Source organism: Homo sapiens, chromosome 7 (assembly GCF_000001405.40).
Source record: "Homo sapiens chromosome 7, GRCh38.p14 Primary Assembly".
NCBI classification, from domain to species: domain Eukaryota; kingdom Metazoa; phylum Chordata; class Mammalia; order Primates; family Hominidae; genus Homo; species Homo sapiens.
In genome coordinates this window covers 144,065,704-144,082,061 of record NC_000007.14, presented here as the reverse complement: position 1 = coordinate 144,082,061, position 16,358 = coordinate 144,065,704, and the positions used below count along the sequence as shown (strand labels likewise).

General features: G+C 36.9%; 1 protein-coding gene and 1 pseudogene across 2 annotated transcripts; both read right to left on the bottom strand.

Moving 5' to 3' along the window:
- Window positions 4,208-4,669, bottom strand: OR2A41P (olfactory receptor family 2 subfamily A member 41 pseudogene; annotated as a pseudogene).
- Window positions 6,192-12,251, bottom strand: OR2A25 (olfactory receptor family 2 subfamily A member 25). Of its 2 annotated transcripts, none has more exons than NM_001386096.1 (2): window positions 12,166-12,251; window positions 6,192-7,846 (listed from the first exon to the last, which is right to left on the bottom strand). In NM_001386096.1, the coding sequence occupies exon 2, from the start codon at window positions 7,840-7,842 to the stop codon at window positions 6,910-6,912; it is 933 nt and encodes a 310-aa protein (NP_001373025.1). In that variant the 5' UTR covers window positions 7,843-7,846; window positions 12,166-12,251; the 3' UTR covers window positions 6,192-6,909. The 2 variants fall into 2 exon arrangements, with proteins under 2 accessions (NP_001373025.1, NP_001004488.1); NM_001004488.2 differs by lacking the exon at window positions 12,166-12,251 and adding an exon at window positions 11,672-11,749.
- Window positions 12,252-16,358: the final 4,107 nt, after the last annotated feature.

Sequence of the window (16,358 nt, the reverse complement as noted above, 5' to 3'; positions counted from 1 at the left end):
ACTTCCAAAGTATGCATAGGTGTTTCTCCTAAGTCTAGGCTGAATCCAAACATGCAAGATTCCTGGAGGCATAGCAAAGGCTGGTTTCTGTGGGGCTGACTGCTGAGAAGTGCTGAACAGAACTGAAAAGTGATTTTAGAAATTTCGAAGTGCTGGGGATGTTGGAGTTACAATCTACCAGGGTTGAGAGATTTTGATAAAGACCACATTATAGAAAGAGAAATTGTGCCCTACAAACAACAGTAGATCTGCCACAATCGTAATTATGAAAAAAAAATACCAAAAATCTTTAGAGGAAAATTACATAACAGAAAGCCTCTACAACTTTTCATTGAAAACTTGAAAAAAAAGAAAAAAAACTGATCAATAATCAAGAGAGAATGTAGTCACTGGGAGACTGCCAAACATAACACAGATACCAAAGCTCTGAATAAAGGCTTCAAAGTAACAATAATTCATATTTTGAAGAAAATGGAGGCAGAGATATAAAAAATTGAAAAAATTGTCATATTCCACAGATAAATATAATCTATAGAAATAATCAAATATTCATTCTAAAACAACAAACTGTAATATCTGAAATTAAGAAACATTGGATAATTTAACTGATTATCCTGATTCATTAGAAGATTATTAAAGTCAAGTAAAGATAAATAGGAAACATGCAGATAAACGCATAAAAGCAAAATAACAGATATGGAGCAGATTATGTAGGTTGATGTTAAAAGTCGATCATAGGCCGTGCGCGGTGGCTCACACCTGTAATCCCAGCACTTCGGGAGGCCGAGGCGGGTGGATCACGAGGTCAGGCGATCGAGACCATCCTGGCTAACACGGTGAAACCCCGTCTCTACTAAAAATACAAAATATTAGCCGGGTGTGGTGGCCGGCGCCTGTAGTCCCAGCTACTCGAGAGGCTGAGGCAGGAGAACGGCGTGAACCCGGGAGGCGGAGCTTGCAGTGAGCCAAGATCTTGCCACTGCACTCCAGCCTGGGCGACAGGGTGAGACTCCATCTCAAAAAAAAAAAAAAAAAAAAAAACGCCATCATATTCCCAAGAGGAAGAGAAAATAAAGTGGGCCCAAATCACATTTTGTCTGAGCATTTCTAATATATAAAGTCAACCCTTCCATGAATTTAGAAAGTTTAACAATTCACGTCAGGATACATGCAAAGAAAATATGACATAGGCATATCATGGTCGTATCACAGCCTCACTTAAAAAAACCAAGGACACAAAAAAAATCATCGTGTTCAGGAGCATAAAACACAACCACTCATTAACACCACCGGGAGCATTTCTTCAGCCAGAAAAAATCTCCTTTTGTGTCTCCTGAAGTGCATGAACACTCTGAGGTGTTTCTTTTTTTCTTTCTTATCTTCTGTGATAACATCTTTCTTTCATCTGAAATTTGAATTATATTTTCTGGATGTAGAATTCTAGGTTGGCAGTTAATTCTTTCAACAATTTAAATAATATTTTATTTTCCTCTGAATTCCTTAGCTTCAATCAAATGTCAGTCACAACTCTTATTATTGATTCCTGGTAGCAATGGGTAGAGGTTCCAGTTTTTATGAAGGCATTCTTACTCTAACATAACACCTTACACAGGTGAAGGGTTTATAAAATATGACCTCTGGAGTCATTTTAATCTGTGATTTGGGGGATTGACAAATACCCTAAAAGCAGGTATAGTCTTCCGTTTTCCTAACTTGTTTTTCTGCTAGTTGCTAGCTTGTGTTCTCATAATTGTCCATTTATTTTCTGTCTAATCTTTGTCCTCTTGAGAATTTTATTGACTCTCCTGCAGACACAGCTCTACATTTAAAGTGATGTTGGTTTGCTTAACATTCTACCAAGCATTTTTAGGTGTCTTGTCGTAAGATGATTTTCTATTCCTGGAAACAGAAATGAGAAATGCAAAAACTAAATAATCGCAGAAGGGAGCCATGTTATTCTCTTTTGAAAATAAGTTACATGCTACGAACAGAGCCACACTGTAATTATTCAAACTTAGAGTTTTCCAATGGGCTTAAGATAATTATAGCAAATATGCAAGCACAAAGAGTCAATCTATACCCAGATTTTCACAGCCAGAATTTTTTTTTCTTTTCTTTTCAATCCAGAGCAACACAGTGCCCATGAAAGTCAGCTATTGTCTAAGAGGTGGTAGATGCAAATATCAGAAAAGTAAGGATAGTGACTTCAGAGGAAAACATCATGGTGCAAGAGAAAAAACTGCATACAAGAGGTCTTTGGGGCCATCCAACCAAGTCAGAGGTTCATAGCACCAGCAAGGAGAAAGATAGGGAGGGATGAAACACCAAAGGGCAGAAACTGTATATATAGAGAGAGCTCATCATTGTATTTACAATATAGAGCTCAGTGTGAGACACAATGCAGGTCATGAGTAAATAATAATAACAATTCTATAGGCTGACTTTCAAGAGTTCAAGAGTTCATTCCAAAGCAGATGAAAGTTTAGAGGGTTTTTTTTGTTTTTTGGTTTTTTTTGTTTTGTTTTGTTTTGTTTTTGAGACGGAGTCTTGCTCTGTCACCCAGGCTGGAGTGCAGTGGCGTGATCTTCGCTCACTGCAAGCTCCGCCTCCTGGGTTCACACCATTCTCCTGCCTCAGCCTCCTGAATAGCTGGGACTACAGGCGCCTGCCACCATGCCCGGCTAATTTTCTGTATTTTTAGTAGAGACAGGGTTTCACCGTGTTAGCCAGGATGGTCTCGATCTCCTGACCTTGTAATCCCCCCACCTCAGCCTCCCAAAGTGCTGGCATTACAGGCGTGAGCCACCGCGCCTGACCGAAAGTCTAGAGTTTTTATAACCCAGTATTCCCATTCATATGTAGCCAACAGAAGTGATTATATATGTCTCCTGAAAGGTGCATATAATACCATTCATGGAATAATTATTTGTTATAGCTAAAATTGTAGGCAATTCAAATATCCATTAGGAATGTGGTGAATAAATTATGAAATATTTGTGCAATGTAATGCTATAAAACAAAGAAAAATAATAAATTATGCTACATACAGCAACCTGGGTGAATCTCACAAAGACAATAATGAATGAAAGTAGGCAGATAGAAAAGAATGTACACTCTTTATGTACCTATCCAATTTATATAAAGTCCAAGAAAATACAATGCTAATATGTGCTGTTAGAAGTTAGGGTAATAGGTATCTTGTGGGAGGAGGGAAGGTGCAGTAATTGGGAGAGAGCATGATGGTAGCTCCGGAAGGCCAGAATGTTTTATTTCTCCTCCCCGAAAGTGGTTACATAATGTGTTTACTTCATGATCTTTCACTGAATTTAACTTATGATTTATACATTTCTCTGTGTGTCTTTAATTTAAAAAATTTTTAAAAAAATTATTCGGCTGGGTGCGGTGGCTCACGCCTGTAATCCCAGCACTTTGGGAGGCTGAGGTGGGCAGATCATGAGGTCAGGAGTTCGAGACCAGCCTGGCCAACATGGTGAAACCCCATTTCTACTAAAGATACAAAATATTTGCTGGGCATGGTGATGCACCCCTGTAATCCCAGCTACTTGGGAGGCTGAGGCAGGAGAATCGTTTGAACCCAGGAGGCGGAAGTTGCAGTGAGCCAAGATCGCGCCATTGCACTCCAACCTGGGTTGATAGTGGGAGACTCTGTCTCAAAAAAAAAAAAAAAAATTCTTTCCTCCATTTATTCTTTATACTTACCAACCACCAAATTATGCTCATTTTACTTTATCATCTCCCAGTGAAATCACCCCCACTTTATTCTCATGTGTACTTTTCCGTTCAGCCTCTGCCAGCATTTCTTGCTTCAACTGATATGATAGCCTTTATATTACAGTAGCTCTGATATCAGTTTGGTCAATTCAAATACTCAGTCCTCATAGCTCCAGAAGATCTTTCTAAATTCAGGTCTGATTACTTGGCATTTTCATACTTATAATCTGGCTTCGCATTTCATATAGGCCGTACTTCAGGGTCATTAGCCTGGAATATGTGTTCCTCCATGCTTGTTCTCTCCAAGCTCACCTGTCATCAGTCCCTGCCTTGTATTTTATACCTGGAAAACCCTGAGCTATGTTTGCTTCCCCCGCAGCTTACAAGCTGCTTACTCCCTTTGGGTCTTTGCTTCTTTCACTCATTGGATGGAACACCCCTTCCTGCCACACCACGCCTTTCTCCCAGCCCCTGATGGCTAACTCTTACTTATGCTTACTTAAGATTAACTTTCTGGGGTCCACAGAAGGACAGTGGTAGCAGTAACACTAGATGGACAAGGGCCAGTAAGACTCCTAAAATCCAGGAAGTCAATGCCAGAGTGATGCAGACTTCCACTCCAGGAAGTCTTACTGAAACACTCCCATTCTGGGGGAGTTATCCTTCCTCTGGGCTACAATAGCATCCTGGGCAGAGCTCAGTTATTAACTTATTATATAAGTTGATAATTTCCATCATATATCCATTTAATTCTCCTACTACACATGAATAAAGTAATAGGAAATGTGCCCTATTCGTCCTTTTGTTTCCAGGACCTAGCACTGATGTGTGTGTGTATGTGTGTGTGTAATATATACACACACATATATGAATTTTAGCAATTTTGAATTGTATTTATCCATGTATTTTAAAATAGTCATTACTCTTTCAGAGAACTGAGATTGCAAAGGAAAAGCTCTGTGAATCATTTACTTCATAAATTATTTGACATCATGGCATTTTGTATCAGATAAAACGCTAAATTTTGCAACATTCCTCCTTCTTTCTGGTAAAATGGGAAATCTGATATTTTGTTATTGCACTTATAAGTTGGTGTTCTAGTTCTTTAAGGACATAATAAGTATATGTAGTGGATAATATTAATGAATACTACTTACTGTGTTATTATGAGTTATAGATCTTGCTAAACATTTTCATGTATTTCCTCTAATCTTCCCAACAATCTGTGAGCTTGGCATTACTGACCTCATTTTATACATAATAATTTCTGAAGAATTTAAGTAAATTACAAAAGTTTCCACATCTAGCAACTGGCAGAACTTTGTAAAATCCCAGGTCTAGCTGAACCCAAAGTACATGTGTTTTTACTCCCCCACTTTTTTTTTGGTTATGTGATCATGTCTGCAATAACAGATGTCCTAACAAAAGGGATGCTTTGTGAGAGAAAAATCCATGTATTTTCCTCATCAACATACTTTTTCACAAAAAAACATCTTTTTAACAAAGTTGAATATTTCCCTTTTATACAGTTTGCATATTTAGGCTTAATTAAGTTATACTTAATTTGAGAGAAGAGTTGAGAAACAGAAGTATCTTTATACATCCTTTCCTAATACTTCTTCACTATTATTTTCTATCACTTTATAACTAAGTGGAAGAGTTTCATGTTTGAATAAAAAGATTATTAAAATTACTTCAAATACCTCAATTTAAAATTAAATTATTCCTGATAATTTCCAGCTGTAGTAATATTGATCAACTAGCCACAACAGTTACAGTCTGTTCTTACTTTTCAGGATTATCTCCTCTGAGTTTTAATCATTTTCAATAGGAGACAATTGACCAAACCCATGAGAGAAAACATATAGTTCTTCCATGAGCTCTGTTATTCCCATTGTGCTCTCTTCCTCTCAGCTCTACGTCCCATGGCTTTCCCCTGCACTCCACAAGCAGAGAAAAAGGAACGGAGAAGGCTCCAATATGTCTATATATTTACTAGCATGACATCTGCCCAGGTTTTCTTGTTAGTTGCATTACAGTTATATTCTCCATTCTCTTTCCTGTGAAGACATGGCTCATGCTCTTTCTAATCTACGTGGATTATACCTTAGAAAATGTCACCACCAGAGAAATATGTGCAAATATTTTATATGTAGACCTATTTTTAAATATAGCATTTTTTTTTTTTTGAGATGGAGTCTCGCTCTGTCACCCAGGCTGGAGTGCAGTGGCACGATCTTGGCTCACTGCAACCTCCACCTCCTGGGTTCAAGCAATTATCCTGACTCAGCCTCCCAAGTAGCTGGGATTACAGGTCTGCGCCAACATGCCTGGCTAATTTTTGTGTTTTTAGTAGAGACGGGGTTTCACCATGTTGGCCAGGATGGTCTCAATCTCCTGACCTCATGATCTCCTTGCCTTGGCCTCCCAAAGTGCTGGGATTACAGGCATGAGACACTACGCCTGGCCTAAATATGACACTTTCTTTTTTTTTTTTTTGAGACGGAGTCTCGCTGTGTCCCCCAGGTTGGAGTGCAGTGGCGCCATCTCAGCTCACTGCAAGCTCCGCCTCTCCAGGGTTCGCGCCATTCTCCTGCCTCAGCCTCCCGAGTAGCTGGGACTACAGGCGCCCGCCAACACGCCCGGCTAATTTTTTGTATTTTTAGTAGAAACGGGGTTTCACCGTGTTAGCCAAGATGGTCTCGGTCTCCTGACCGCGTGATCCACCTGTCTCGGCCTCCCAAAGTGCTGGGATTACAGGCGTGAGCCACCGTGTCTGGCCGGCACGTTCTAAATTAAGAATAATTAAATAATGACTTTGTTATCAGTCTCTCCTAACTCCCATATCCTTATTCTACAAAAATTCGCCTTCAAGTCTTATTTACAGAACAAAAAGATACACATTTATTTCCAACTTTCAGAATATTTCACATAATTATATTAAAAGTGTGTACACTATACAGCTAGTATAAACATATTTTTATTAATTGTGCAGCTCCGACCTTCAATGCTGGAGAGAGGAAAGCAGAATGGGCTTTCTCGGGAGGTAGTCATAGGAAAATTTCAAGAAGATGGAAAGGGTTCTCTAGAGTGTGATTATGTATCCTGAGTAGGGATGGGTTCAGATGTAATCTCAAAGCCCTTTGAAGCCAGCTATTTTACTATTCTTTCAGGCTTTCATGAAGTTCTCTTCTTTTCAAGCATCCTCTTTAGAGTACCTTGGACTTCCTTGTTCCTAAGACTATAAATTAGGGGATTAAGCATGGGATTGAAGAGGCTGTGAAACAGCAGGAGATATTTCTTCTGCTCCTTGGGGCTCTCATACTGGGGCTCAACATACATGATGATGGCTGTGCCATAAAAGAGTCCAACCACACAGAGGTGGGAGGAGCAGATGGAGAAGGCTTTCTGGCACCCCTCTCCTGACTGGATCTTTAGAATGGCACATAGAATATGAACATAAGATATTACAGTGGAAAAGAAGGCTCCCACCAGCACAGACACTGCCCCTGCCAAAACCATTACCTCATTAATGTGGGTATCCGCACAGGCAAGTTTGAGAACAGCCATAATTTCACAGAAAAAGTGATTAAGTTTCTGGGGTCCACAGAAGGACAGTGGTAGCAGTAACACTAGATGGACAAGGGCCAATAAGACTCCTAAAATCCAGGAAGTCAATGCCAAAGTGATGCAGACTTTCCAGGTCATGATGGTAGAATATCGGAGAGGGTGGCAGATGGCCACGTACCGATCATAGGACATCACCACCAGGAGGAGACATTCTGTATGTGCAAAACTCAAAAACAGAAACATCTGGGTCATGCAGCCAGCAAAGGAGATGGGCTTGGCTGGATGCAGGAGGTTCACCAGCATCTGGGGCACCGTGCTGCAAGCACAGGCGATGTCGACGACCGCCAGGTGTGAGAGGAAGAAGTACATGGGGGTGTGGAGTCTGGAGTCCAGTGAGATGAGCCCCAGGATTGTCCCGTTCCCCAACAGAATGAAGATGTAGAACAGGGAGAAGAGCCCAAAGAGGAGCATCTGAATCCTTGGGCCAATGGGAAATCCCAGTAGGAGGAACTCTGTGATGGAAGTCTGATTTCCCCCCATTTCCCTGTAGAAGAAACAAGGAGCTCACCAAGTCTGAATGTCTAAGGCAAATGTTTAAGCATGCTGCAACTGTACATATTATTGTTTGAGTGTTTTCTAAGAAAACACCTTCAATTATATTTTGATCTTAGTCACTTACTAAGAGAAAATTATGCATTACAAATGAAGCACAAGGACATTTTGTCATCTATGATAAATTCAATGTTAGTATGATATTATAGTATTCATTACATCTTATTTTCAAATCTACTTTCGTTACAGTTCAAAATATGTTAATACTTAAATTGCCTTAATAGCATGGACTCTTTCCTCAGTTTGTGATGATTACATCAGATGCTTGCCTTCTGTATTCCTTCATTGCAGGGTACTTATATCCATGCATGTGGAAGTGTGCTGGTGTCTATGTCTATATATAAGGATAGAAAGAGGGATGATGACCATGTCAATGATCCTGCTATCAGGTCTTCTCACCAATTTGTGCCTTTGTTTTATGAATTATTTTTTAAACTTGTGATTTTTACTGATTGCATAATCTTGAATTAAGTTAAGAGAATGGCAGTTTGCCCTAACTTTGGCTGGATTTAAACAGAGATCTTTGTGTCTTGACTTTTGTACCCATAGAGGGTCTACTCTGTTTGTGTTGTCTTATGATCAGAATGTAGTTACCTGTCACCTTTCTTGGACTACAGTAATCTATTGTATATTTCATTGTACATTTCATCATACAGTAATCTACTGTATATATAGTATACTTCTTATACTATAAATGTGTATTTATATTATTTATTTGTATATATATTTTTCTGTTTTTTGCAAATTTATTTTTAACAATTTTTAATTGATACATAATAGATGTAAATAGTTTTAGGGTACATGCGATAATTTAATATACTCATTTAATTTATAAAGATCAAATCTGTGTACTTGGGCTATCTGTCACCTTAAATATTTGTCTTTTCTTTATGTTAGAAACATTCAAATTATTCTCTTCTGGCTATTTTGAAATATACAATAGATTACTGTAAACTATAGTCACTCTTCTAATCCATTGAACACTAGGTCTTATTTCTTCTATGAAACCATATGTTTGTACTCATTAGTCAACTTCTCTTTTGTTTCCCTTTTGCTACCCCTCCTGGCATCTGGTAACCACCAAGCTACTCTCTGTCTTCATGAGATGCACATTTTTAGCTCCCACATATAAGTGAAAACATACAATATTTGTCATTCTGTGCTTAGCTTGTTTCATTTAATGTAATGACCTCCAGTTCCATCCATGTTGCTGAAAATGGCAGGATTTTATTCTTTTACATGGCTGAATAATATACCATTGTGTATATATATCACATTTTCTTTATTCATTCATTGATGAGCACTTAGGCTTATTCCATATTTTGGTTACTGTGAATAGTGCTGCAATAAACATGGCTGTGAAGATATCTTTTTGATATGTTCACTTCATTTCTTTTGGATATATACCCAGCAGTGAAATTGTTACATATGATTTATTTAGTTGCATTTGGAAATTTCTAAAATTCTGCTATATTCCTACAGTAATAAATGTCTACCCAGTACATACACACATGAGTACATATACAATTGAATCCTTACTCTGTGTAATGTGCTTGTTTTCTGTTTTATTCTAGTCTAATGTATTCTATTTCATTAGTAAAAGTGCTGGCTGAATTATTTCATGATGGGTCATAGCCTGGGATTTAAAAAATACTGATCTCTATCCAAAACTAGAGCTAAAACTCTAACCATATACTTATATTCATAGAATGTTTAACATATTTTATAGCTTCTTAACTATCATGTACAAATAAATAACTACTTATTATTTATGGTGACTCTTTAGTTTTTTTTTGTGGCCTATCAAATGTTTTAAAATCCTTCCAAAGCCAAGAGGGTATACTGAGGTTTGAATCATTGTAATTTCTAAATTATTGCTTCTGTTTTTTTGCCTGACTCTATAGCCTTCTTCAGCCCATAATCCATCTGGATTTCACTAAAATAAAAACAGAAAAATTCATAATTGAGTTCCTATCAATGAGTTCCCTATTCAAGTAATATTTGAAAGATTTCATCAGCAAAGGTAGATAAGTTTTGCTTCAAAGCAAGAATCATAATTCAAAGTAGAAATTATTGGAAGGTGATATTATCTTAGTCAATAAATAATCTGATCATTATTGAAATTGCCTTCTTGAAAATTAGTAATTTTATTAGGAATGAAGATTTCAGTGAGTGTTTTAATTCATAGATTAATTAACCATCTATTCAAGATGGGATTCCTTTGTCATGTGAGAAGTTGAACTAGAAGAATGCCAAGATCCTTTCCAACAATAGGATTCAGTGGTCCCAAATGTATAGAAAAGTGTTATTCACTTTCACCTCAACTTCCTTGCAATATCTGAGTCCAATGAAGATAACAATGCTACTTTTAAAATTTCATATAATAAAGGCACACAATAAAATAGAAGGACCAATGGTGTCATCTCATCTTCCCCCATCTCCAAGTAGCTAAATCACAAAATATAAATCCACAGGTATTAACTGAACATATATTACGTCCTGCTACATGTCTTAGCTGAGGGCATATAAGACTGTACTTGTTTGTAGGCACATGTAACCTGGTTGGATTGATAAGACTATTAAAAATACTCACAAATATTCCAGGAGTCCCACTGGCATATACCCAAAAGAAAGGAAATCAGTATATCGAAGAGATATCTGCACTCCTATGTTGCAGCACTGTTTACAATAGCTAATAATTGGAAGCAAGCTAAGTGTCCATCAACAGATGAATGGATAAAGAAAATGTGGTACATATACACAGTGGAGCAGTATTCAGCCATAAAGAAAGAATGAGATCTAGTCATTTGCAACAACATGGATGGAAATGGAAATCATTATGTTAAATTAAATAAGCCAGGCACAGAAAGACAAACATCACATGTTCCCACTTATTTGCGGGACCTAAAAATCAAAACAATTGAACTCATGGACATACAGAGTAGAAGGATGGTTACTAGAGGCTGGGAAGGGTAGCAGGGGTATTGGGAGGAGGTGGGGATCATTAATGGGTACAAAAAAATTAAAAAGAATGAATAAGACCTATTATTTGTTAGCAAAATAGGGTGGCCATAGTCAATAACTTCATTGTAATTTTAAAATAATTAAAGAATGTAATTCTTTACATTCACATTAAAGAATGTAATTGGATTACATTCACATTAAAGAATGTAATTGGATTTTTTGTAACTTAGAGGGTAAATGCTTGAGGGTCTGGGTGCCTCATTCCCTATGATGTGCTTATTTCACATTGCGTGCCTGTATCAAAACATCTCATATACCCCATAAATATATACACCTACTATGTACCTACAAAAATTTAGAAAAAAGGGACTCACAAATATGATAATTCTCATGTTTAAATAGCTCAGAAAAATGAATTTCATATTTTAAAACAAATCCTTTGTGTCACTCTTCTTCTTATGTAACATAAATCTAGTTTGCAGTCAATTAGGCCCATTGTTCTATAAAACCACTACTTAATTTCATGAGGCAATAGAAACATGAGGCAACCCCCCACAAACAACTATTTTACCTTACAATTTAAACAAGAAATTCAACACCAAAAGCATCAAAATAAATTATCTACATTAGGTATATCTGAAAGAGAAAAATGTTAAATTAGTCTAGTAGCTAAGTCTGTAAATAGCAGAAATTTGGCATTAACAGGTAAGAATTACAGTTTGCATTGTGATTTTTTATTACAGTGCTTCTGAAATTGTATAATAAATAAAGGTTGGATAATATAAAAACTTACATTTTACATCAGGATTAACAACTAAAAATGAGAAAACAAGGTGGATATGAGTTAGGTAAAGCTTCACAAATTAGTAAAAAGCATCTGTAAGCTAGTGTTGAAACTCTTTCATTCCAAAAAGATTATTGGGGGAAAAAAGTGCCCCAGTGGAGGTTGGATAGCTCTCAGAAGAGATGACGTTATTCTCTGCTTAGATCAACCATGCCTCAGTATGCTATGAAAGTGTGTTGCAGTGGAGAGATAAAGACCCATCACGCACACTGCCATCTGCTCCTGTCCTAGGGAAAAGGGCTCTCCCTGTACTTATCTCTCTGGTTTTCTCTGGAAGGATGTTGATGTCAAGATGTTGCTGCTGTTACTTTCTTCAGTCAGTGTAGGATTCATGATCAGAAATTTAAGCAGGAATACAATTACTTCCAGGACCTCTTCATACATTACAGATTCCCCAGGCTTATTTTAGTTTCAGGAACTCCAAAATATCCCCACCTACTAACCTTCCAAATAGATTCACTTGTTTTTAGGGCAGGTGGAACTCATATAGATTCAACCTTCCAAATAGAATCACTTGTTTCAGGGCAGGTGGAACCCATATAGTATTCCCATCCCATTTTGACTGAGTTTTATCTTCTGTGCAACCCGAACATATATTCTGTAATTTTTTCCATCAAATCTCCACAAGGAATCCAATTCCCAAAGTAGGACCAGGTAGCAAGAGCTATAGAAGCTGTGGGCAACATGTTAAGGGATCAGAAAGAAGGATAAAGCATCCCAGTGGGATTTGTTGAACCCTTTTTGTAAGATTTAACTGGAGCACAAACAAGGACAGTTCTTACCAAGAAGCAATCCCTGTTCTTTAATTTCTAGTGATTTTGAATGCAAGGGGAGTGTGAGGTGAAGTGAGGACGACCATAATCCCTGAGGTCTGTGACTATTACTATTTTCTCTGTCTTCTGAGAATGAAGAAATGAAAATGAACTGACCCTATTTTATAATTTCCGGAAATCCAGCTGAGACAATCCGATGGTGTCTTTGTGCTTTAAATTTTTCTTTTAGTCTTTTACCTAAATCCATTCTTATACTTAAATATAAAGGAGGCAGGATGTAATTTGCTAAATTAAAGTTTTTTTAATGTTTATGACTGCCAACTAAGAAAGTAAAAAAACCTATTATTTTAACCTTGAGAGAGCTCACCTGTAGCAGGTTTTAATGTGCTTTTCCCCATCAGACCTGTTCAGTAAGAGGCTTGTTGGTGATTGGTGTTCAGATTGTGTCCTCATATACTGAAAAGATGCTGCTTCCTCATATTGATGCCCAAGGGCATCTAATGCCTGGAGAGAAACAATCACTGTGACCCATATGTTGTCCACGGTCCAATTTATTAAATATATAAACTCATAAATTATATCTCTTCTTTTTCTATTTCTAATTTTATAAATATAAAAGCCTTCTATATGTCTTATAATTTTTTTGCCTAAAATTATATTTTATCTGAAAAAGATGTATTTTGTTTGATAATAGCAATGCTGAACTTGGTTTACTAACACTTAGGCTAATTTGCATTTATGTTCATTTTTGAGATTTGTTCAATAAATCACTTTTCTTCTACTGTACTTTTCTAGTTTTGTTATCATTGTTATACTAGCCCTATAAAGCAAGCTGGATTGCTGTACTTCTTTTGTCTATTCTCAATAAGTTTTACATAGTATGAAAATTAGCTGTTCCTTAAGGATCGGTAAAATTTGTCTTTAAAACTATATGGCATGGTGTTCTTTGATTAGAAGAAAATTCTGGTAACCAATTCAATTTTTTGAACATTAAGGTTTTGGATTTTCTACTTCTACATAAGGCAGTGTAAGTAATATTTTCCAAATATTTTTTATTTTTCCATAAGTCATTTGGGTACAGGTGGTATTTGGTTACATGGGTAAGTTTTTTAGTGATCTGTGAGATTTTGGTGCACCCATCACCTGAGAAGTATACACTGCGCCTTATTTGTAGTCTTTCATCCCTCGTCCCCATCCCTCTCTTTCCCCCTAGTCCCCAAAGTCCATTGTATCATTCTTATGCCTTTGCATCCTCATATCTTAGCTCCCATATATCAGTGAGAACATAAAATGTTTAGTTTTCCATTCCTGAGTTACCTCAATCAGATTAATAGTTTCCAATTTCATCCAAGTCACTGCAAATGCCGTTAATTCATTTCTTTTTATGGCTGAGTAGTATTCTATTTTATATGCACACACACACACACACACACACACACACACACACACACACACAGTTTCTTGATCCACTCGTTGATTGATGGGCATTTGTGTTGGTTCCACGATTTTGCAATTGCAAACTATGTTGCTGTAAACATGCATATGCAAGTATCTTTTACATATAATGACCTCTTTTCCTCTGGGCAGATACCCAGTAATGGGATTGCTGGATCAAATGGTAGTTCTACTTTTAGTTCTTTAAGGAATCTCCACACTTGTTTTCCATAGTGGCTGTACTAGTTTACATTCACAGCAGTGTAGAAGTGTTCCTTGGTCACCGCATCCATGCCAACATCTACTGTTTTTTGAGTTTTTTATTATAGCCAGTCTTGCAGGAGTAAGGTGGTATCACATTGTGGTTTTGATTTGCAGTTCCCTGATCATTAGTGATGTTGAAGATTTTTTCACGTTTGTTGGCGATTTGTATGTCTTCTTTTGAGACTTGTCTATTCATGTTCTTATCCCACTTTTTGATGGAATTGTGTGTTTTTTCTTACTGATTTGTTTGAGTTTGTTGTAGATTCTGAATATTTGTCCTCTGTCAGATGTATAGATTGTGAAGATTTTCTCCCACTCTGTGGGTTGTCTGTTTACTCTGCTGACTGTTTCTTTTGCCATGCAAAAGCTCTTTAGTTTGATTAAGTCCAAATATTTACCTTTGTTTTTATTGCATTTACTTTTGGGTTTTTGGTCATGAAATCTTTGCATAAGATAATGTCTAGAAGGGTTTTCCAATGTTTTCTTCTAGAATTTTTACAGTTTCAGGTCTTAGATTTAAGTCCTTAATCTATCTTGTGTTGATTTTTTGTATAAGTGATGAGTATCCAGTTTCATTATACTACGTGTGGCTAGCCAATTATCCCAGCACCATTTGTTGAAAAGGGTGTCCTTTCCCCACTTTATGTTTTTGTTTGCTTGGTTGAAGATCAGTTGGCTGTAAGCATTTGGGTTTATTTCTGGGTTCTCTATTCTGTTCCACTGGTCTATGTGCCCATTTTTATACCAGTACCATGCTGTTTTGGTGACTAAGGCCTTATAATGTAGTTTGAAATCAGGTAGTGTGATGGCTTCAGATTTATTCTTTTTGCTTAGTCTTGCTTTGGCTATGTGGACTCTTTTTTGGTTCCATATGAACTTTATAATTTTTTTTTCTAATTCTGTGAAAAATGATGGTGGTATTTTCATGGGAATTGCACTGAATTTGTAGATTGCTTTTGGCAGGATGGTGATTTTCACAATATTGATTCTACCCATCCATGAACATGGGATGTGTTTCATTTGTTTGTGTCATCTATGATTTCTTTCAGCAGTATTTTGTAGTTTTCCTTGTAAAGGTCTTTTGCCTCCTTGGTTACGTATATTCCTAAGTATTTTATTTTATTTTTTGCAGCTATTGTAAAAGGGGCTGAGCTTTTCATCTGATTCTCTGTTTGGTCACTGTTGGTCTATAGAAGGGCTACTGATTTGTGTTCATTAATCTTGTATCCAAAGAGAATTTGCTGAATTCTTTTATCAGTTCAAGGAGCTTTCTGGAGGAGTCTTTACGGTTTTCAAGGTAAACAATCATATAGTCAGCAAACCGTGACAGTTTGACTTCCTCTTTATCAATTTGGATGCCCTTTATTTCTTTCTCTTGTCTGATTGCTCTGGCTAGGACTTCCGGTACTACGTTGAAGAGGGGTGGTGAGAGTGACAGACCAATAACAAGCAGCAAGGTTGAAATGGTAATTTAAAAATTACCAACAAGAAAAAGTCCAGGACCAGATGGATTCACAGCAGAATTCTACTAGACATTCAAAGAAGAATTAGTACCCATCCTTTTGACACTATTCCACAAGGTAAAGAAGGAAGGAACCCTCCCTAATTCATTCTATGAAGCCAGCATCATCCTAATACCCAAACTAGGAAAGGACATAACCAAAAAAGAAAACTACAGACCGAGATCCTTGATGAACATAGATGCTAAAATCCTTAACAAAATACTAGCTAAACGAATACAACAACATATCAATAAGATAATCCACCATGATTAAGTGGGTTTCATATCAGGGATGCAGGGTCAGTTTAACATATGCAAGTCAATAAATGTGATACACCAGATAAACAGAGTTAAAAACAAAAATCACATGATCTCAATAGATGCAGAAAAAGCATATGACAAAATCCAGCATCCCTTTATGATTAAAACTGTCAGCAAAATTGGCATACAAGGGACATACCTTAATGTAAAAAAGGCCATCTATGACAAACCCACAGCCAACATAATATTGAATGGGAAAAAGTTGAAAGCATTCCCTCTGAGAACTGGAATATCTTCAAATCTTTTAAATTTATTGAAATAAGTTTTGCTTATAACATTCTATTGTCATTTAAAAAATCTACATCTTGTTTTTATAACTTTTTGTACCTAATATTCTATATAC